General features: G+C 37.4%; 1 long non-coding RNA gene across 1 annotated transcript in view; it reads left to right on the forward strand.

The window, feature by feature from the left end:
* Positions 1 to 10,517: 10,517 nt before the first annotated feature.
* TEX41 (testis expressed 41) overlaps positions 10,518 to 23,079 on the forward strand; it is a 408,763-nt gene continuing 396,201 nt past the window's right edge. The window contains exon 1 of the long non-coding RNA NR_033870.2: positions 10,518 to 10,659. This is a non-coding gene — a long non-coding RNA (testis expressed 41). The remainder of the gene's footprint in view (positions 10,660 to 23,079) is intronic.

Genomic DNA, 23,079 nt, shown 5'->3' on the forward strand with positions numbered 1-23,079 from the left:
CAACTGGCCAAATTTGTCCTTCTTTCCAAATAAATTTTATGTATAGATGATTAAGCAGTGTATGGACACCTTTATCCTCTTTCTACCTGCCATCAATTTCTTATAATAAATTCTCTCTAAAAATAAGGATATTAAAATCAGTGTTACATTCAGCTGCTGGCTTTCAGTTTTTAGACTTTGATTGTTCAGTTGTATGCTAATTAAGACAAACTTCTAGCCATAAAGTTCTTTGACATATCTTTTCTCAGGGTAAAATGAATGTGGCACCTAAATAGTTTGAAAATCCAGTTTAATTTAGAAAAGGCAAAACCAAACCATAGGTATAGAGAGCTATAAGTATTATCTAGATTTATCAGTTGAATTACTTGTGCTATTTAAAGACCAGAGAAGTTCCGTTTTTAATACATTATTGTTATTTTTCTGAAATATCTGACTGTAACAGAAGGGACTTATAATAATATATTATGATTTGCTCATAGTCTGATGGCTACAGATCCTGAGATATTACTCATCTTCTTCATCTGTTTGCTTTTATGTATGTTCATCTCAGTATTAAATAGAATATTAAATGATAGATTTTTCATAAAGTAGGACTCTAATAGAATTTAAACAGGGAAATCCAAACATACATTATGAATAATTGCATATAAAAATTGCAATTCTTATGTAGTTTATCAGGATGAAAATGAAATAATAGCTCATCATCACTGTGTAAAGCCATCAGGTTTATGTGATGTTAGGAAAAATCCTCTTAAGGTCAGATAATTATTTTGTGAAATAAGCAGAATTCCCTATTATAATTTGTGAAAACTTTAAAACTAGATGAATTGATATTATGCTTCTAAAATATTTTTTTCAATTATTTGCACCCAGAGTCTTATGACTCCTTAGTCAGATTTTGTGCATTTTCTCCAAGTACATTATTTTCTTTTAAAAAGCTAGCCTCAGTGGGGCTGAGAGAACTCAAGAGGCACATACATAAATTGTCTTAATTTCTGAGAAGTGTGGGTCTGACAATCACTTAAAACAATATAGTTGATATGGCTGTCAGGACAGACTCTTTTCAAAAGAATGTTTTTATAGAATATCATCATGACACTTTGCTCAGATGGATGTCTTTAACAGTATTTGATTAATGTAACGTAATAAAAGAGATGCACACCAAAGTGTCTGTACATGTCTTGTTAAGTATGTTTGATTCATTATATGTGGTTCTCAGTTCTTTCCTCTTTCCACAGTTCACTTTTTATCATTTCAATAATATATCTATAAATATGAAAAAGTTGGCCCTTTCAAAGTCTTTGACATATATAGCTATTAATTCATAACTCTAAAAAATCGTATCTTTCAACCTGTCATTTTAAAGCTTGTAGAGTTTATTACAGCAAGTAACCTGTGTTAGAAATTAGATTTTGAACTTTAGCAAGAAGATAAATAAGCTCATGTACCTAAATGTTAAAGAAAAGATACCTAGACATAGTTCTAAGTTAGAATGATATGAAAAGATCACTTATTAAAGATTATAATTTTAAACTCCCTGAAGATAATATTAAAGTTTATATTGTTTACCAGTTTCCCACTTATTTTGTTTTCCATCTCCAGATATCAATCATTGAGCAAGCTTGTTATAAACAAAGCTCTCCAATTACAGTTCCATGATCATCTTTGTTGCAATGAGTTGATGAGTTCAACTTCATGGTTTATATACCAATGACATAGAAGGTTTTAAGTAAAAGTATTCTGATGGCATACTAATAGTAGTACAATTGAGTATCCCTAATTTGAATGTCTGAAATCTGAAATGCTCCAGATTCTGAAACTTTTGAGCACTGATAGGACACTGAAAGGAAATGCTCATTGAAACATTTCAGATTTTCAATTTTTGGATTAGGGATGCTGAACCAGCATAATGCAATAAAGGAAAAAAAAAAAAGGTCCAAAATCTGAAACTCTTCTGGTTCTAAGCATTTTGGATAAGGGATACTCAACCTGCCTTTATTTATATACACATTTTAGGTGTTACTGTTTTAACAGGGGTAAGCCCTGTATGGTAGATGCTCTTTTACTTGCATTTCACTGATGAGGAAGCTGAGGCAGAAATCACATGCCCCAGATCATACAGATGCTAAGGGGCCGAGCTGGGCTTAAAATTCAGCAGTCTGGCTCTGAAGCTCTTGAACTCCTTGAGAGAGCGCTAAACTTGGAATGTTTTCTTCGTGGTGCCTTTGGTCCTGCTTCATATTCTTTAATGCATAGGTAACAGCTTGGCTCCCTCACTTCCCACGCTCCTTTTCTTGGTTCAATTAAGCAAATCATGGCCCAACATCAGGGTAGCAAGCCTGCAGTGTTCCACGTAATGAGCTGTGACTCATGGATGATTTGGGGGTTTTGGGTGCCAGGCTAGCACATCATGTGTGAATAAGCTTGTGGCAGGGGCTGAGGGTGAGGCCTGAGGACATGGTTTATGTTGGAGCCTCGCGGTGTTCTGGGTGACTCATGTACACTCAACCGCAGAGTCATGAACCGCTTGCACACACCCAATGTCAGGTTCACTCCGAGGCTGTTCTCCCACAGCCATTTTACAACTCTATCTGTGAAAAGCACAGAACGTATTTTGACCTTTTCACCGTGGGATCCTGAAGGGGACTTAAAGAACAGCCTTCAGGTCCTGCTGGTCCCTTCCTGGGAAGACTTTTATTCCCTCGGAGCTAAGAAAGACACCTAGATGGTGCCTTCCTCTCTCTTGTGCTGCTTGGAAGGCATGGGCTTTGGGGTCAGCTAGACCCTGGGCTAGCTCTTGGTTATGTTCCCAACACCTCTGAGACCTTGGGCAACTGACTTATTGTTCTTGGACATGGCTTTCTTTGAAAACCATAAAACTTATAGAATGGGATGGGAGCATTTTAAAATACATTTATGGGAAATTAACACAGAAGACCTTGTTTAAACATTATTTTTAGTGGTCAGCCAATGGCTTCAGCTTAGGAATGACTGAGGCAAAAGCACTAATTAAGGATGGTAATTTTATTCATCTTTGTATCTGTTTAGTGTCAAGTTGTAGGAAGAGAGGGTTTAAAATATGAGCTAGTAACCCCCCCACACCCCGAGACTCTTTAAAACTATGAATAAAGTTAAGAAAACTGTGCAAGAACTAAGAGAAGGTCAAAGGAAAAGAAGCGATGGACATTGTAGGTTCGAAGCACACCAGGCACCTTCCAGGAGAGGAGAAAGTTCAGGAATGTGGCCCTCCCTGCACTGCAAATCCCTTTGTGGCCCCTTCAAGCCTCTAAGCTCTTTTACCTCAGCTCATCATTAATGCTGATCTCCCCAGGTAGGGGAGAGGAGGTGGACTTAGGAGGCTTAACTACATTGCTTAGGATTGTATATTTCAGAGACACTGACTGATGTGAGTCACACAATTATAGTTCTGAGTCCTCCTCTGTTCTTGAGTATAGAGATTGGAGAGGAAAGCTGTGTTTGTGATTTTAGAGTGCCCGGGTCAGGCACTTCCTTTTTGTATGTGTTTTGGGCAAGCCCCTTACCTTTTGGAGCCTAACTTACCACCCCTGGGAAGTGAGGGAACTGAACTTAGTGCTCTCTAAGGCCCTGTTTGAGTTTGCATGCCATTGACTCTGGACTTTTCTAAATAAACAAGTAAACTTACAGTTACCATGGAGAATGTCTGTGTCCTTGCTGATCATTGTAAATGTCCCTGATGTCAAAATGCAGGATGATAAAAAGTGAAGTTGAAAAATGAGGAAGGAGTGTGACAGGGAGTGATCTTAATCGTTTTGCAGGGTGTGCACTTTTTAGGCTGCCTAAGGGCAGAATTGAAATATATGCCTTCTGCCAGCATATTTCAGAGTCAGCCGAACTACATTTTGGTTAGGAACTACCTTGTCCAGAAAGAGAGGGGATGATAATCAAAGCAAGGGCAGTCCCAGAGCTCAGATGATCCCTTTTTCCTGGTGAAGGATATCCTTGGATGGTTGATTTTCTATTGAGCCTTTAAAAGAGAACGCTAGGCTTAACAAAGGGTCAAGAGTCCACAGCTGAGGAGGCCGAGAGGAGCCAGGGAAAGGAAGTGGTTTAAAAGACTTACTGCTATTATATTAGTAATAAATTTTTTCGAATTTATTATTGAAATTTATATATATATTTCAAAAATATACCAAAATAGAGTGAAGTGTATGATGGATCTCTACATTCCTATCAAGAGTCAACCATCAATTCATGGCCAATCTAGTCTAACCTGTATCTTCATTTAATCTTGTTTTAACAAAATTCTTTTGAGACAAATCTTGTTCAATTTCATCTGCAAATATTTCCAAAGGTATTTCTAAAATTAAGGGCCTTTTTAATTTAAAAGGCAAATGCAATAATGTTAAAACATCTAAAAATTAACAAAAAATTTTTAATTGTATTCACTAGCAAGTCAATGTTTAAATTTCTCCAATTGCCTCATATACATATTTTTTTAAAAATTTGTCTGAATCTCGATCCTAATAAGGTCCATAGAAAGCTATTGGGGAATATGTGTCTTAAGTCTCTTTTACTCTACAGGTTTCCTTCCATCTTTCTTTCTTTCTTTCTTTCTTTCTTTCTTTCTTTCTTTCTTTCTTTCTTTCTTGTGAAGAAACTAGGCCATTTTTTCCTGTGAATTTTCTGATTTTGATGATTAAATTTCTGTGTTATCTTTTGATATGTTCCTCAGTCTTTTCTATTTCCTGTAAATTGATATCTAAATGTATGATTAGATTCAATGAGTTTTTTTTGGCAAATATATTTCATACATGTGTCATGTATTCTATTAGGAGACAAACAATGCTTGATAGTCTCTTTTTTGTGGTATCAGTAGCCATTATTAATCATTGTCCAGATCCCTTAATTCATTAGAGGCTGCAATACAATATATTCATTCTATGAATATAATTCCTTTTAATCTAGTAGTTGTAATATTTCTAGAAGAAACTTTTCCTGTTTGATTACACTGAGGAAATATATGTTCATTATATTATCTGTATGTAAAACCCAGGCTAAATACTGGATTTAACCCCTCATTTCCAGTTTCAGCCTATTTTGCAGCCTTCTTCAGAAGTGACCAATGATAGCTGTGTGTGTTTTAAATTGTATTTTTTTGAATGCATGGACTTAAAAATATTTAGCCTGGAAATTTTCGAGTCAGATGAATATAGGTTTGAGCTCTGGCCCTGCCTGTTACCTCAGAGAGTCTTTCCCTTTCTTCTCATGGCTAAAGCCTAGTCACTTTGGGCTCTCATGGGTCTTCTGTAGGGAAGCTTTCCTTAACTTTCCTGAGAAGGGCAAATGAATCTCTCTGAGACTCAGTTTTCTCATCTATAAAATAGGGGCCATACTACTGATGCCATCTGACATAGTTGTGAAGATTAAGTGAGATAGTGAGTACAGAACCATCCATTATAGGCATTCAAAGTTCTCCACTTTTATTGTTATTTTGTATCTAACAACTTTGGACACTTAACTCCTGTGGTGAATTGTTTTGCTATTATCTCTATCTTGAAAGTATTGTTGGAGAAACAATCATGAAAAAATATTTTTCTACTTCTGTTTATGAAGATGCAAAGTCACATGGCAAATTATCAATATTTTTTATGAAGATGCAAAGTCACATGGCAAATTATCAATATCTAAAATGTTCTGAAAGGTGGAAGAGAAAGAAACAGTATTCAAGAGTCTTGTCCCAAGGTGTTGTGGGGGAGACAAGGTAATAATTGAGAACTATATATAAAAATAAGTACAAAGAATTATATGAAGCAATTAAATCTGATGGGCTGGATGGACTTACTTACGTTAGGGAAGGGTGTCTAGGTACATTGGATTCAAAAGCGGAGGAAGAAACTACTTTGGAGGAGTCTTTGTGAGTGGAAGGGAAATCCTGAAGTTAGGGTTGGTCTCCTTCTCAAAAAAAGGAAGTTGTTGCTTTAGGAGGGTTGACTAAATACCCTGACAATACTCACTTGACTAAAAATATCTCTTCCATGGGCTTGAAGTCCTAAAGCCAGAACCAGAAGCGTAGCTTGTTCCTGCTGCACACCGTTCTGTGTTCCACCTCCGGAATCTTGCCCAGGCTTATCCTTCCTCGGGAATGTCCTTCTTGTTTGCCTTCTTCACCTGCTTACTCCCACTTATTTTACACGATGCCAGGAGTCAGGGCTTTAGAGGGTCTTTCTCAGTCCCTTCCTTTACTGCACCATTGGGGTAGGGCCTCAGTGACGTTTTCCCATCTTATCCTGTACACGTTCCCATCACAGCATTCATCATACTGCTCATATCCACTGACTTCTCTGGACTCCAAGCACCACAAGGGTAGAGACTCTCTTAATCTTCTCTGTAACCTCAGCACAGTGGCCAGCACATATGTGTGCTTAAGAAATAATAAATACAATAAATTTGTAGCTGGGTGCAGTGGCTCTTGCCTATAATCCCAGCACTTTGGGATACTGAGGCAGGAGGAGTGCTTGAGCTCAGAAGTTTGAGAGCAGCCTGGGCAACATAGCAGGACCCCATCTCTACTAAAAATAAAAAAAAATCAGCTAGGCATTGTGGCCCGTGCCTGTAGTCCCAGCTACTTGGGAGGCTGAGGCAGGAGGATCACTTGAGTCCAGGAGTTGAAGGCTGCAGTGATCTATGATTGTGACACTGTACTCCCCCTGGGCAGCAGAGGGAGACCCTGTCTAAAAAAAGAAAGAAAGAAAGAAAGAAAGAATAAATGGGTGATTGAAGTTTTACCCGTTTATTTGTAAATTTAAATTTGGACAAGTTACCCGGAAGTGTAGACCAGTAATGTGTTAACACATGAACCTAAATGAGTTATCTGGTTGACTCCTTTATAGGAGCAGGAACAGGGTGGTGGTGAGTTAGCATGGGCCAGCAAGCTGGTTTGGGGGCAGGTAGGCAGAACAGGCTGGCTTTCAGTCCTGGCTGAGGCAGGTTTGAAAGAGCAAAGGTGAATGGCCTGGATTGTATTATTCTTATTCTTGTTTTCCTAGTACTGCCCTTGGGTGAAAAGTGGGAGAAAGTAAGAAGTGTTTAGGGAACAGCAATTAGCCTTTTGGATTTTCTTGGCTAGATTGTGGAAACTGAGCAGATGCAAACCATATAGAGGTTAGATGGGCCTGGATGATTGCTGGGGAGCTTTGGAAACACAGCCATGTGACAAGGTTACATGTAGACATGTCCATCTTAGGAATGCATAGTAGTCTGTCCAAGAAAAAGCCATTTGATATTAGTGGGGTGTTTTGTATATTTGCACAGAAAACTTGCTCATTTATCGTTCTTAAAGCACTCAGTTATTTGCCTAAGGAAGATGCCTTTTCACATAAACAACGGTCTACCTGGTATCAGAATTTCTCAACAGATAAGACACCCTTGTGCTCAGGAAGTAACTTCTGCAGGCAGATAGCATACCAAACTTTTATTGTTAATATGGGAAGAAAGGCATGCATCAGAATAACAGGAAAACCTGCTCTTGTGTGTTTGCACCTGAGGAGGGGGAGGGGACACCATTTTTATCAGGCACACTAAAAGCAGCCGTTCATTCTTGCAAGATGGACTGTTCTAGATTTTGTTGCTTTATGAAATTTTTGGTACACAATTTAAGTAAGTTTTTGGCACAATTTAAGTAAAACCCAGGATTATTTCAGACAGTTAGAAATGAACAATAGCATGTTTATCATTAGAATCGGACTCTCCTTGTTATATTTCATAGGGTTTAGCACTTGTCTGTTAATACCCATCTCACTAAATGTCTCCATTCATAACATAGGTTTTCTTCCCCTGGGTGAAGGGATGGGGAGGAGTGAATCTTTTTCTAATTTCTTTTTCTTCCATCATGTTTATATGTATAAAATTTCACAGACCAACATTTTCTAGAACCTCTGTATTCGCGGAACAAGTTCCTTTAAATACAAAGATTTCTAAGTGACATTTTGACTTCTGATTTACATGAATCTTAGTAAGTTATGCCAAATAAACTCTTAAATTATACTGAGTAAGAAGTCTGATTAAGAAGTTTTTCTTCTCAAAAGGAAAATAAATGTTTTCAATTCTTTTTAAAATAAGTTTTTGTGTTTGGCAGTGCCTTGGTCTCACAGCAGTAAAGAGATTAAGTAAAATGCTAACTTGTAGTAACTCTATATTTTTAAATTTCTTATCCTAAAAACTAATACAGAGATAATTCCTGAGAAACCTCATTTCCCTGGCAAGTCAATAGCTTACTTTGCTTCTTGTTATTTGCTTTTAACAGTGACAGGGATTTTTATTCTTTTTTTTTCCTTTTCTTTAATTTGCAGAGTCAATTAAACTGCTTAACCAAATAGATCTTAATAGTGTTGATAGATTCTTATTATATTCCTGTCATAATTATTTTTTAAAACTGGCAGGAAGCCTTCAGTATTCAACATCATTTACGACCTCAGTGAATGGTCATGTAAATGGACAATTTGCAGAAATTCCAGCTGGGGTTAACCTTAGAACAGGGTTGTTCCAATATAAAGCTGCTGGCTTCCTTTACATTATTATGGATTTCTGTTTGTTTTCTTTTTATTTTTGGGCAGGCTTCCCCTGAGAAGTTTAGATGGACGATTTAAGGGAGGTGTGTTTTTAGGAGGACTTAGTGGTGATATTGGAAAAATCTTAGTGAAATGACAGCCGAGGTCATTATAACATGGCCTTGAGTCTCATAACTCGGGAGGAAGTAGGTAGGAGGTGGTGGCAGAAAGGCAAAGATACTGAGGTGTTTCTAACACGGGCACAGGAATATGAGGCAATAATAGAACATTACTAAAGTTCTCCTCTAGAATGAGTCATTGACAAATATAATTTGAGGCTTTAGGCAGCCCCAAGAAAATATCAATTTCTATGATTTTTATAAACTTACACTTTGGAAAGGTTGGCAAATTGATAGACAATGAATAAACGCATTTAGAATTCAAAGTTGACATTCATATTATGGCCTCAATTTAGCTAGGTGAGATATTTAGTGACACTTGGATGTCTTTCCAAGGGTCAGATTTGTTAAAACATTATGCTAAAACAATTTGAGAGATAACTTTAAGTATTCTAGGCTTAACTAGAAAGCAAATTTTGCATTACAGTTCAGGAGTAGATAGTAACTTTGCAAACCCAAATCAAGAAATCTAACCACATTAAAGAAATGGATTTTGTTGTAAAACTAAAATGATTACATACTATATTTCTTAACTTAATGAGGGAGAAATGTACCTCTGGTCTAATAAGCTCCATATTGTTAAATGTCAGTGTTAGCATCTCTCTTCATCAGTGTTATCCAAAATTTAATGCTAATATTATTTTACTGAATCTGTGAAGAGATTGTACTATTTTTCTTTTCTTTCTTTCTATTTTTGGAGGTTGGGGTGTGTGGAGGGATGGTGTTTCAAAGTTTGGTGTTGAGATTGTATGTATTTCCAAAGAGTAATACTGAAATAGGTTGTGAAATTATAACCAGAGTTCTACATCCTCAACTCTTTATATTCAAGAAGTTTTGCCATTTCAAAGAAAGATGAGAAGTTTTAAAAAAAAAAATTATGACAGGACTGTAGTAAGAGTCTATCAACACTATTAATATCTATTTGGGTAAACAGAGAGGCAGATACCTTTTCCCACATGAACTATTTTTTGATCAGTATAAAGTATGATAAAATATGAAAAAAAGCAAAATTCAGGATACTTTTGTAGGTAGACACGTCAGATATTATATAAAATTAGCTTAAATATTCAAACACTGTAAAATGAGAGGCAGATAGGATATCGTCTCCAAAGAGGACATGGTGAAAACGATACTTTGAAATGATAAATAGTCAAATATGGGCATAACTTTTTCATATTAGAGAAAACTTATTGCCTAGACAAATGTAGTAGTAGTGTGTATTTTACTTCTAAGAATTTAGTGACTAAAGTACAATGCCCTCCCCATCATGTTCTCATAATAAAAGCTCATATTCTGTGAACATTTTACACTTTTTTTGAGATGGAGTCTCCCTCTGGCACCCAGACTGGAGTGCAGTTGTGCCATCTCGGCTCGCTGTAACCTCTGCCTGCTGAGTTCAAGCAATTCTCCTGCCTCAGCCTCCTGAGCAGCTGGCATTACAGGCACCTGCCGCCACGCCCAGCTAATTTTTGTATTTTTAGTAGAGACAGGCTTTCACCATGTTGGCCAGGCTGGTCTCAAACTCTTGACCTCAAGTAATCTGCTGGCCTCGGCCTCTCAAAGTGTTGAGATTACAGGCGTGAGCCACTGCGTCTGGCCTACACTTTTTAATTCTCTGATTTCATGAAGAGTTCTTAACTCCCCCCAGCTAATGCTAAAAATGTGTCCTGGTTCTTACACGGCACTGCTAGTAACGTGGCAACCTGAGACTGTTCCCAGGCTCAATTCACAGGAGCCCATGTTCAGCGGTTATTTAATAGCTTTGAAATGCCATTCACCTGTGGCCCATTTCAAGTTTCCCATGATTCTTAGGAAGACCCTGGCCTCCATCTTGAAAACGGAAAATAAAAACAGCAGACCTATGAAGGTCGAAGGGGAAGAAAAGCTGTATCGATTGTTGAGATCTGGCGACTTGTTTAAATTTCATCAGCCTCACTTCTATGAACTCTCAGGTAAGCACTCTATTGATTTGTAATTTTCCTGCAAACTTTATAAAGCAGAGGAAAATGGCCGACATGGCGAAGTGCTTGGTTAGAGTCCAAGCTGCGTGTTGGTAATTAGCTCAGGGAGGGGGGGAAAAGGAGAGTCAGGCAGTTTGCTGGAAGTTTGAGTGCAAATTTGACAAGGCAAGGAAAATGGATTGCACTCCAGTGAGAGCTAGCTTAATACTTGAATTCAGAAAACTCCAGAGTTCCTCCTTGTTGAGTCCTGCAAATAAAGAGGAGGGTAAGAAAGAAGCGATTCTGAAAGGGAGGGGGGTCGGAGAGTAAACTGAAAATTTCCATGGAAATAGCCGGTTTTTTTTTTTTTATGACTTTTTAAAGCCACTTTTAAGCTATTGCTTTCAGTTTACTTCAATGCACTCACTGAAGTAAGCTGAGAAAGAAATCTTTGATATGCCAGATCAACCAAAAGTTTTAAAATATTCTTTTGTGTCTCCATTTATAATGCAAATAGTAAGTTGGTGTTTTGGGTCCATTTCACCATGGTCTCTGAAGTGGGTTAACATACACAGAATGAGGAAGTGGAGGGAGTCCCAAAGAGAGCACATCTTTGATAGTTCAATAATAATAAAAAAATGTATTTAGGTCTTTTCTAAATACCTTTCACCTCCTAAGAATATAAAACATGAGAGGAAGTTCTAAGAAGAATAAATTGTGGTTGCCCTCTATGTTAGCTGAGTGACTAAAGATATCGTATTGTTCTATGAATTATCCACTACTTAAATATTCCTTAAGTCTAGCCTTTATGAGCTCATAAAAAGACTTTGCTTATGTGTCTAGGAAAGCCAGTATCTTTATATGCTGTCAGAACTGAATTTAACATACTGTTTCAATATAACTTTGAAAACCAGCAGATATTTTGTTATAGGAAAGCAAGCTAGGCAAGCACCTTAAACCCATGTTTACATTTTAGTTTTATCAAACATAAATATTTCCTAGTTGGAATAGTTTTAAAAAGTGGTAATCTATGCTTGAGAATGATGGAAGGAGACGGAATTCTGGTTGAAATAGTATTGCCACTGTAGTGTTTTATTCATGAGAATCTCCAATCTTTTTTCATATATGCTAAAAAAGCCAAAATTAATTAATGTCAGAAACACAAATGAGGATTGGCAATGATCATCCATCCATGCTGGGGGAGGCAAGGCTGGGCGTTCTGTATGGTATAAACTCCAGATTCCGCTTCCTCACTGAGCACCTCTGTAAAGCCTCCCGTGCATTTGGAAGCTTCAGAATTTCTTCTGGGCAACCAAAGTCAAATATAATTTTTGACAAATACCAACTCCTCCCTCAATGCAACCAAGAGCAATAATGTTTCAGGAAGCTCCAGCTGAAGTGTTAGTAATAACCATCAAATAAACAGAAGTTTTACCATCTTCTGTTTCATGATTGAGCTTTTTCAAATGTAAACAATTTATAAGGAAAAAAGTGGGCCATGTCGGATATGAGAAACAGAGAAAAGTTTGGTGGGAAAAATCAGAGGCATTCTTTATCAGGAGATAGAGTTAGGACATGCCTATGATTGCACACTGTTTGGGTATATTCTTGTATTCATCCTTCCTCTCGGGTTATAAGTACCACTTTTTCTTCCCCTTCCTTCCCTTCTCATTCTCTCTTGGGCATGGGCATGACTTCTCTTACCTTTGCCTTTCTCTGGGACCTCAGTTGACAGCTCTGTCACACTCACCTTCTCTTCTGCCCAAGCTGCTCCCCCTACCCTTCTCCCACTTGGGCTTGCTGAGGAAACCACTGCTCCCCAGGCGCCCTGAGTGCCTCAGCTTTACCTAGGTACCTCCGGTGTATATTTCTTAATGGCTATATTTTAGGAGCGAAAAAGTTTCCCAGTGACCCCCTTTCATTTGTTGTCTGACCTGAATTAAGCTGCACAACTCTGATTAGAGACAAATCTTTCTTTTTCCACACTGTTGCTCTTTCTGCTGTCTCATTTAACACAGCTGGTATAAAATGCTAGAACTATTTAGCATAACAAGACCTATTTGCAAAAATGATGAGAAAATACCATAAAAAAGGCCAGAAATATATCCCCTGTAGGAGATGCTATTGTTACCCTGCTTAGATACGCTTCAGTGGCTGGTACTTGCTTCCCCCCTGCCTCCTGCCCAAGCTGCTTTGAGTGTGGCTGGTGACCTCATAGCTGCCTTCTTCCCTGGAGACTTGTCCTGTGGCCAATGACTGACAGGGATAGGGGTCAAGGTAGGGGGGAGCTGACAAAATGCTAGCCTCTTTACCTCAAGGTAGACCTAATGCTGTGGTGTGATTTGTGCTCCAGAACTTCCGGATCAACTGATGCTAGCCTCCAGCTGAGCCCACACTTGGTCAACATTCTTTCCCTCTCATCTCCTCCCCTTCTCCTTAGAACACTCCCTCAGTAAATCACTTGAACCAAAATTTTTACCTCGGGCCCTGTTTCTAAGGAATCTCACCCAAGACATATATTTTTTTTAAATTAAAAAGAAAACCTTGGAATTATTTGGCTAAATCTTAATATACATGAAGTGACCAAAGATGGAATTGGTATTGATCCAAAACACTAGATTTGGCAAAAATGGCACAAAAACTTAAGATATTTCATAGCAAAACTTAAGAACTAAAGAGATATTATCTTTTGCCTCATTAGAAAGGGAATACTTTTTGAGGAGTTGCAAATATTTAAAATGTTATTAGCCTGGAGAAAATCCATGAGTAGGACTGCAGCAGTCTCCTTATTACTTACATTATGACTGGTTTTATAGTTTCCAAAGTAAGTTTCAATTTCATGACCCTGAGTCAATCTCATGACAATAATGACAAACAGGGATACTTATTAGCTGCATTTTCCACATATCAAGATTTTGTCCCAGAAAGCTTAAATGGCTTGATTATGTCTCACAGTTATTAAGTACCTAGCCCGTAGTTGGTGCTCAAACCCAGGTTTCTGTGAGAAATATGAGGGAAGATTTGCTGATTAATTTAAACCAAATTCTTACCTTTATCTTAGATGGAGTTTTCATAATTCTGTTATTAAGTCTATTAGGGTTGCACTTGTGATATACCTACTGATCTAGACTTAATCTTGGTCAAAGTTGTCATTTTCCTATTAAATGTGTGTATTAGTTATCCATTGTTGCATAACAAATTATCTTAAAACTTAGCAGTTTAAGACAACGAGCACTTATTATCTCATAATTTCTGTGGGTCCAGAATCAATAGGTAGTTTAAGTGCCTCTATCTCAAGGAATCTCACACAGCTACAATCAAGGTGTTGGCCAGGGTTGTGGTCTCATTTAAAGCCTTAGCTGAGGAGAGACTAGCTTCTAGCTCAGTCAGTCAGTTGTTAGAAGGATTTGATTCCTTGGGAGCTTTTGGACTGCAGGCTCCATTTCCTCACTGGTTACTGGCCAGAGGCCTTCCTCAGTTCCCTGGCATGTGACTCTTTCCATAGGACAGCTCACAGTATGGCAGCTGACATTCTACAGAGTGAGCAGGTGAAGGAAAGAAAGAAAAGGTAAGGTGGAATTCAAAGCGTTTTTGTTACTTGATCTTGGAAGTGAGAGCCCGTCAATTTTGCTGTATTCTCTTGGTAAGAAGTGAGTCACTAGGTCCAGCCCACACTCAATGGGAGCGTATTACACATGGACATGCATACCAGGAGCCAGGGTGTCCTGGGAGCCATTTTAGAGGCTGCCTATTGCAGTGTGTCTCTTGGCTTCCTCATCTACAGGGCCCTGCAACTTGATCCAACCACTGTTTTCTGTATAAGGAAGTACTGGATTATTTTCAATATGTTAATTTCATGGGTTTAGGCATATGTGCTGTAGTTTAATGCGCTTCTCACTTGTTCTTCCTCCCACCCACTCTTCAATTTCTCTTCTCCTTTTGCTCTTCCTTTCTTGCTTCCTCTGTCCTCCTGCTTCTAACTCTACTCACTTCTCTTTCAAGCTCCCTGTTTTCTCTCTCCTCCCTTCTCATGCTCTCATGGTCACCTTCCTTTCAGAATCCAAATTCTCTGTGTCTGTTCCTGCTACCATGGCCCTTGTTGCTCCTCCATCTGCTCACAGGGACCATGGCCAACCGGCAATTTTAGATGCTGGCTCTTAAGTTTCTAAAGAAAATGATTCAATTCAACTCTTGGGTCTAGTCTTTCTACCAAGTTCCTCTAGGAAGATGACACCATGATGAAGTGAGACAAAGTGTTTTTTATAGAACATTGAAAATCCTGTTTTAGAAGTTGGGGGGAGGATTTTTTTTTCTGTATTTCTCTATGCATAATGTCAGATCTGAATTATATCTAGTGTTGTCTTGTGTGTTTTATGTTAAATTATTTTAAAAGATAAGATGATGAGAATGATGATGATGATGCAGGCTAAAGTACACCATCATATCACTTATCTAAAATTAGTTGTTTAATCCTGATGGTAGTGACTGCAACTTTTATCTCTATTTCCAGTATCTAGAATCATCTGAATGAATAAATGAATGAATGAATGAAGCACTATAGCAGAACTAAGTAGATTGGATAGGTTGGCTATTTTAGCCATTGAAGGTAGAGTAGAAATGGTTTTCCCAAATCTTATGTGAAATCCAGGGAAAATATTACTAGTATCTCTATTTGTATTTTTCAGCAATAGAAGATGCTGTCAAAGAAAGAAGACAAATTTGACCCAGCAGAGAGCACATTTCATATGTGGGATTAATGTGCAGTAATTAGCCTGTTTTGGTCTAGGATGACTGATAGTGATTCCATGGCCCATTTTCCTGATATTAGGCAAAGGTTCTTGGGGCAAAAATGTGATTAGAATATGTTCAACTTGATGACATGTATGTTAAAGCTATCGGCACATACCAACCAATTTTATTGCATGACCTATTGCTAGAAAACATCAAAAGTGGAGGTCAAATCATTTGAAGAATAGTTGTTTAGTGAGTTAGAATGAATGAAGTCTTTAGTGAATGCTGGCATCAAATTCTGTCCTAGTTTGTTGCTTGTCATGCCCTATTCTCCATCTGGGATGCCCCAGGCACTCTTTTTGGGGACACTTGACCTACCAGTCATATTTCAGAAACTACTGATTTGGTGCTTGCTGATTGAGTTTAGACTCCAAGGAGTCCGATTGCTGGATTACATACAGACTAATGACCCATCAGTCGCTAAAGGCAAAAGCTTAAAGTGCACTAGTGAATTAAGCCATAGCATTGTCGGAAAGGAAGAATTTATTATGTCATTAAACTTGATTCAGTAAGTTTTGCTTCTTTAGATACACTTCACTGAGGGAAATGTAAGAAATTAATTAGAAACGAGTGTTATCGTTTTTCTTCCACTTTCCCAGGTAAAGGATATTCACGTGAAATTAAGAGACAGAGTATTTCATTGGGATGAAAAGAGAGCCATTAAAAGGAATAATAAATTGTGAAAACTGGGCATGACTGCCCAGCCAGCCATGTACTTGTAAGTTCAGAGACTGTGCGTCAGCTGGTAAACACAGAGGAAAACCAGGCTTGCCTAATTTGATGACACCCTGGGTGAAGTTTTCAGGACTTTGCATACAATCTCAGAGACTCATTGATATAAAGATGTCAGCAGTAATCATGGTTGATGCTTAGAATTAAATGTGAAACTTAGAATGGGCACAAAATGGAGATCACAATGGAGGTTTTCTGCTTCAAATTTAGGAATTATAATGATACACAGAATATTCTCTTAATGTGAAGATTACCATAAGACATAAAAATGTAAGCCATTTGTTGTTGAATCTTTCTACACATACCTCATGGTTGCTTTATAGCAATAGATAAAATGTTTATAAATGGTAACGAGGATAATTGAGAAAATTGTGGAGTGTTTGTACCTTTTGTAATTTATCAGAGTACTCTGACAATCCTCTCAGGCATTCTAAAATGAATCTCTGTTATAGAGGTAAATGGTAAAAAAAAAAAAAAAAGAATACATCATATCTATAGTGTCAGTTCTAATAATGGAGGGACTTTTAGTATTTATATTCTAGGGAACAAAATATACTTTCTGTTAGTAATTATGCAGTGGGATTAAAGAACAGATACTGGTCATTGTTTTAACTGAATACATTCCATAGCATATGACTTATGTCAAATAAAAGAAAATGAACTACAAGGGAGGTCTGTGTCCAAGGGACTATTTTAGTTTCATTAGAATTCTGTCCTATCACAGGATATGCAATATTCTATGCTCCAGATGAACATAGAAACAATAAGCAAAGCAGATTTTTTTTCTTTCATTCACTCCTAAAAGGTGATGGCTTTTTACAATTTTACAAAGTAAGGATTTTAAAGTCCATCTGATTTGGAATTTTCTCTTTTTTTCCTTCTTTCCTGCCTCCCTCTCACCCCATTTTCCTTTCTCCCTCCCACTCTCTTTCGTCCCCCCTCTTGCTTGCTCTCTCATGATGGAGTCACAAAGGTTATTTTTATTTTATTAGTAAAATTATTTTAATCTTGAACCATTACTAAGAATAACAGACCAAAACATCTCCCCTTCTAGTTATTCAATATTCTTAGTAATGCAAAGAATATATATAATATTAGCTTTTCCTTAGGATGTTCCCAAATTTAAGGTAAGACATACTTTGGGAGGAAAGAAAAGCTGAGGCGGAAAATTTGTCTGCTCTTGGTAGAGCTCCAATCTCCCCCAGAGATACTCCTTCACCCTCTCCCCAACCCCCCGCCCTGTGCCATAATTCCAGGATGAACATCTGGCTTGATTTCTGTGTCAACTACTTCTTTGCCAAGAATAGAAGGTTATAAAAAGAGGTTACAGACCAAAGTTACCATGGCTGCCCACAGAGATTTCCTAAAGAACCACTAGGGCCTACTAGGGAGTGTCAAAAAGGAAAACAGTTTCCACTCATAAATACCATTTAAACATCTTCATGTATTAGAGAAACTAGGTTTTAATTCATATGTTTACACTTGTGTTCTTTATACCTACCTCGCTGAATTTATTGTGGGGGTTAATTGCATAAATGCATATAAGCTCTTAGAAGAGTGCAGGGAAAACCACTCTATATTCTCTTTCTTTTTTCCCTTCTCCTTCCCTCCCTTCCTTCCTTTATTCTAAGTTCAGTGCTTCTCAAATTTTAATGTTCATAAGACTGATCTGGGGATCTTGTTAAAATGCAGATATTAAGCCAGTAGGTCTGGGGTGGGCTCCGAGATGCTGGATTTCTAACAAGCACCCAGGAGACCTCACCCATGAATGGCAACCATTTAGGTAGTGACTTACCTGGTGGTTTAGTTACAACAGTGTCATTAAGTCTGTAAGGTTTTAGTTATGATTGGGTTATGGTTGTCTTTTACTAATGGTCTAGAGGCCTATGTACGAAAAGTTGCACAATATTATTTTATATGTTTCTTGACCGTAAACTCATTTGCAATCTTAAGGATTATGTGATGCAGCATAGGAATAACTGTAAAGTGTAATCCATGATGTAAAGTCTACCCCATAACTCCTCCAACCCTCCAGGTGATTCTTATTATCCTTTGGGAACCATTGAGGTACTTGGGAGAAATGGGTGCTCTGTGAGAGTAAAAGTTTGTTTTGTAAATTCAAAAAACATATTCGGTTTTGGCAAATTCAAAAACATATCTGGTTTTATTAAAAGAAAGTGTTCACAATGAAGCCTAATTGGTACCTCTCTGAGAAACCTCTTAAGGATTTTACTGCAGGGAAGGTATTTAGTGAAATCCAGGTGCTCTCCTTGATCAGCAATAGGTAGCTGCTGGAACATTGATTGCACTGTTATTCATCCTGGCACAAGCTGTGACCTGCCAACCAGTGTTGCCTGTACTGTTTATTTCAGGTACTCGGTTGTGAATATTATGCACAAGCCTTTTCCCTTTACAAGATTTTCATCCGTTTTTCTTACTATGTTGCACATATCCTTAGATATCAGTAGGAACTTATCACTCTGATTTAGCATCTTTTCTTGCATTGCACTTTGTCTTTCACTTGATTCTCTGTAGCCCCAGCTTGACTGTACTGGTTGCTAATATAGGGACAACTTAATTTGGAAAAGCAAACCAAATAAAACTTGTGAAACAACAGCATTTTTTGGTCTGATCCTGCCTCTCTAATGATCAGTGACTATAGAGAAAATCCATGTGGAAATTAAGATTTCAGAATGATTCCCTTCTGGAAAAACAAACAAGCAAACAAACTAGCATTGCAAAGATAAAGAGAAAAAATCCATCAGCTCTACTACCTTTTTTCTGAGTGTCATATCCTTAAATTTGCCTTAAGTATATTATTCTATGGCCAATCCCCCTACCAGCTAATTATTTCAAATGACCGTGATGGAGATATGGATTTTCCTATCATCTGTGTATTTTTCACTATGCTAACAGCTCACTTATCCCGGGATGTGGATCAAATATAATCAGAAGATTGTCGTAAATAAGGAAGCAGCTACAATGCATATGTCTCGTGCATGTAATAGACTTACGTACCTCGTTCATTGACAGCAACCATAGACCTTCACTCATTAAGAGTTTAGTTTTCTAGCTTGGGTATCTGGTTTCCTGGCTAACATTATCGTAGAAGCAACAAGTTGGAAGAGAATAAAGATTGCTTTTAGAATAGCTTGCTTTATGAGTAACATGGCAGCTTCTGGGAAGGGAGAAGATTTTTTGAAAAGCCTGCAAAAAGACACAAAAATGGAAAAAGAAATTGTAATCTTAAGTATTTGCTCTGGAGGCAAATGGCTGGCTATATATCGGGGCTATATTACAATGCAGTTCAATCATTAATGGCCATAATAGTGTTCTAGAATAATTAAGACAGGCTAAACTTGTCCATGATTTATTCCTATTTTGGGAACTAGGACATTTACTATATAGTCTTAAAACACTTCTATACAAATTGTTTTTAAAATGTGATAGAGGGTTTATTTTTTAAAGAAATGGATCTTTTTTTGATGCTGCCAGATAAATCAAGCATTAATGTGTTTTTAATTTAAATTTTTTTCAATATAAAGAATAGAATGGATTATGAGTGAAAGACGTTTAGAAGATTCAGTTCCACGAGCGTTTCAGTTTTTTATTTATATTCAAACTTTTGTGGAAAAGTAAATCTTATTCTTATCCTGGGAATGGAGAAAAATGGAATTAGGGAGGAATTCTGACTCAAAGTTGGAGTTTTCAAACCCACACATCAGCAAACCTGACAGGATTTGTGAGTTAATATTTATCCTGCACCTTGATACCTTCGGATGAAAAGTACTACGCAAATACCAAGCCCTGTAGACTCTGTGGAATTTTCAATCCTTACAATTTTCTAACAGCAAACCACCCAAGGGCTTGTTGGAGAGGTGGCTTCTTGTGCAGAATCACAACAGCATTGGTTTATGCTGGTGACAGTTCTTACCTGTTTTCTTTCTCAGACTATAGCTGAAGTTTTAGATCACCAGTGATGTAAACTATTTTTTTTCTTCAGAATATTTTGGCAGAAACTTCAGGTATGAATAGCCTGAGTAAAAAATTATTTGTAGTCAAGTCCCATGAATTCTATAAATAGAGTCTATACCACCTGGCATTGGTTACATAAAACTCAAGGTTTGGTCTTGCCACTAGTGCCTGACTCTAGCAGTAGCTGCCTCTCTGCGGTGGGTCTCTGAGATGTGCACTAGGCCTTTCTTTACCTGTCGAGCTCAGGCAAGGGGAGGCTGCTCTAAAGAATCTTTATAAGCTGGTGCTATTATGGAAAGAGGTGTTTATTTATTTACATTGTTTTTGTTTAACTGGAAGATAATCCATAATATACAAGCGCAGCTCAGAAGGCAAAATAGTACAGAAGAAATCTTTCTTACTTCTGCAACAGTTGCATTAGTTATGGTCTATTATATGTTTTCAGAAATCCAGCATTTTAATGACCACAGTTCAACAGTTTAGGAAGTAGCCCATCAAACACTGAAGCAGTGAATTTTGTTAGCTCTCTCATAGAAATAGGATGTAGAATTACCCACTTCAGTAAGTAAAAAATAAACTAATAACATTCTCTCTTTCTCTGTCTCCCTCACACACACACACAGTCTTACACATTCACAAACATACTGGTTCTTGCCCCAAACTTCCGTAGAAAACAAAGTTTAAAATTCTTATGAGAAGGGACTAATTTTTTAAAAGTTAGATTAAGACAATAATGAGCTGATATTAATAAGTAATTGATAAGTTAATAGTGCTTGCATAGATACAGAGGTTTAAAGACTTTCCCAAAAATGTAAATACCAATTCCAACTGTGTCCCTGTTTCAGGCATTGCACTCTTCTCCCCACCCCATGTCAGAAACAGAATTATTTTCTCCTTCAGACAAAAAGAGTTTCTATACATGTCAAAATACAAGAAATAGATATTGGGAAGCTTCAGGAAACCAGGAAGAATAATTGTTATAACAGTTAACCTAATGTGTAGTATATGGCAAATACTGCCCCAGTCTCCCCCTCACACCTCCTCATCCTGTCCCTCACCCCACCTGGAATCATACACACAAATGCAGAGTATTTTTGTTGTCTTTGCTTGAGGGTACCCACAGATCATGATCCTTTTTCTGACTACAACTTTTGAAGTGTTTTACTTTCTCCCTGAAGATTTTTTTCCCCCAACACTATTTGCATATAGAGCAGTTGGTCTTTCAGGCTGTACTCTATATTGTTGTCTCTGAATCTTTCTAACATTGCAATGCTAGTTGCTGAAGCTTGGAGTTGCCCAGGTGGTAGTTATTAACTGACGTGTCATGGTTCATGGTGAACAAGCTAGGTCAACAAACTTGTTTTTCATCATGGCTGGTTTTAATTTGAAAGGAAGCTTGTTACCTATTTGATAATGCTTCACTGAAGTTCACCTATTTCAGGTAGATTAATAGCTTGTTCAGGGATGAGGAGCCCAGGGGCCCTGTTGTAACCATGTGCTGTAAGTTCAAGGTTCAAACTTCAGAAAGTATAAAAGTCCTTGTTTTTCATCTACCTATTTGCCAGTGCATGCCTCAGTGAACTTTTATACTTGGTAACACTTGAACAATCACAGGTTTGGTACCTTATAGTCATATTAGAAGCTGTGTTATATAATTAAGAAAGAGATGTGCCCTGTTAGTACTTTCCAGATTGGAAGACTTTTCAATTTTGAAGAACATGGAGTTGGTGGGGGTTTAAAAATTATATATATATTCCTGATCATTCACTAGGAAGAAGATTAAATTCTCTCTAAGGTGAAATGTTAAATTCCAGACAAATTTATAAACACTATAGGTAAATATTAGATTGAAGCAAATAGATGAGAAAAGGCTGTTCATGTCTGGGCCAATTCACAATGGTGACAGATCAATAATTCCTAAAAATGAATGTCTATAAAACACATTTATACTACATTTTAAAATTTGTAGTATTTACTGAAAAATTTTCTTCTTTTTAGAAAGGGGAGTTTTATCACATTTGTTTCCTTTAAGTCATTGATGCAATAGATCAGTGGGCATGAAAGGCATATCATCTGGCTCTATCCATCTGAAGAAGAAAAAAATTCAACCTTATAGTGTGATTCTTATGAATTTCAATGTAGCTGAAGTTCCCACTCAGATTTTGCTCCTGAAGCATTTAAATTCAACTCTACTATTTGAAGATTAGACCATTAGACCACAATGGAAATATGATGTCTCTGTACTGAGAGCAGGTTGGCAGTCTTTTAAATTGATAGGTTTCTAAAGAAACTCTCCATTTAAAATAAGGAGCTGATATTTGGATCTCCTAACCAGTCTGAAATGTAGTTTACCTACATAGATTGGCTATCTAGGAGCTTGTAAACAAATTCATAAATTTGTCATGCTGATTATAGTGTTGGCAAACACAATGGCTGATCATGTTATAAATGTTTATCAACACCCGCGCTCACCCACCTGCTAAGAGGTGCTACGCTTTAATGAAATTGTTTGAATATCACGGCTGGTTGCTAAGATACAATGTTCTTGTTACCAGGGATGTGATGCTTGCAGATTTCTGTTATCAAATAATGATTAGAGATTTGCTAACCTCAAGGTGCTCAGTGCAGTGAAAGGTTTACTGAGCTACAAATTAGTAAACTGTCTGCTTGAGCAGGCACTGGCAGAAGAAACATGTGCCTCATCCATACACGACTGGCATTTTAAAAGAAGACAAGAGAGGACAGGGAGTGCGGCCATAAACGATGGATCCTTGAAAGTTTGCCATGGAAATGTTTTACCTACTCCATTGCCCAGCATGATATATCTTTAGCCAACTGGGGAATTTGTTGAAATCCATTGCAAATAACTCCTTTCTTATGAAAAATCTCTTCTTCACATTTCTGTTAATTGGTTGTTATGGAATTATTAACATT

Source organism: Homo sapiens, chromosome 2, assembly GCF_000001405.40.
Source record: "Homo sapiens chromosome 2, GRCh38.p14 Primary Assembly".
Classification (NCBI taxonomy): domain Eukaryota; kingdom Metazoa; phylum Chordata; class Mammalia; order Primates; family Hominidae; genus Homo; species Homo sapiens.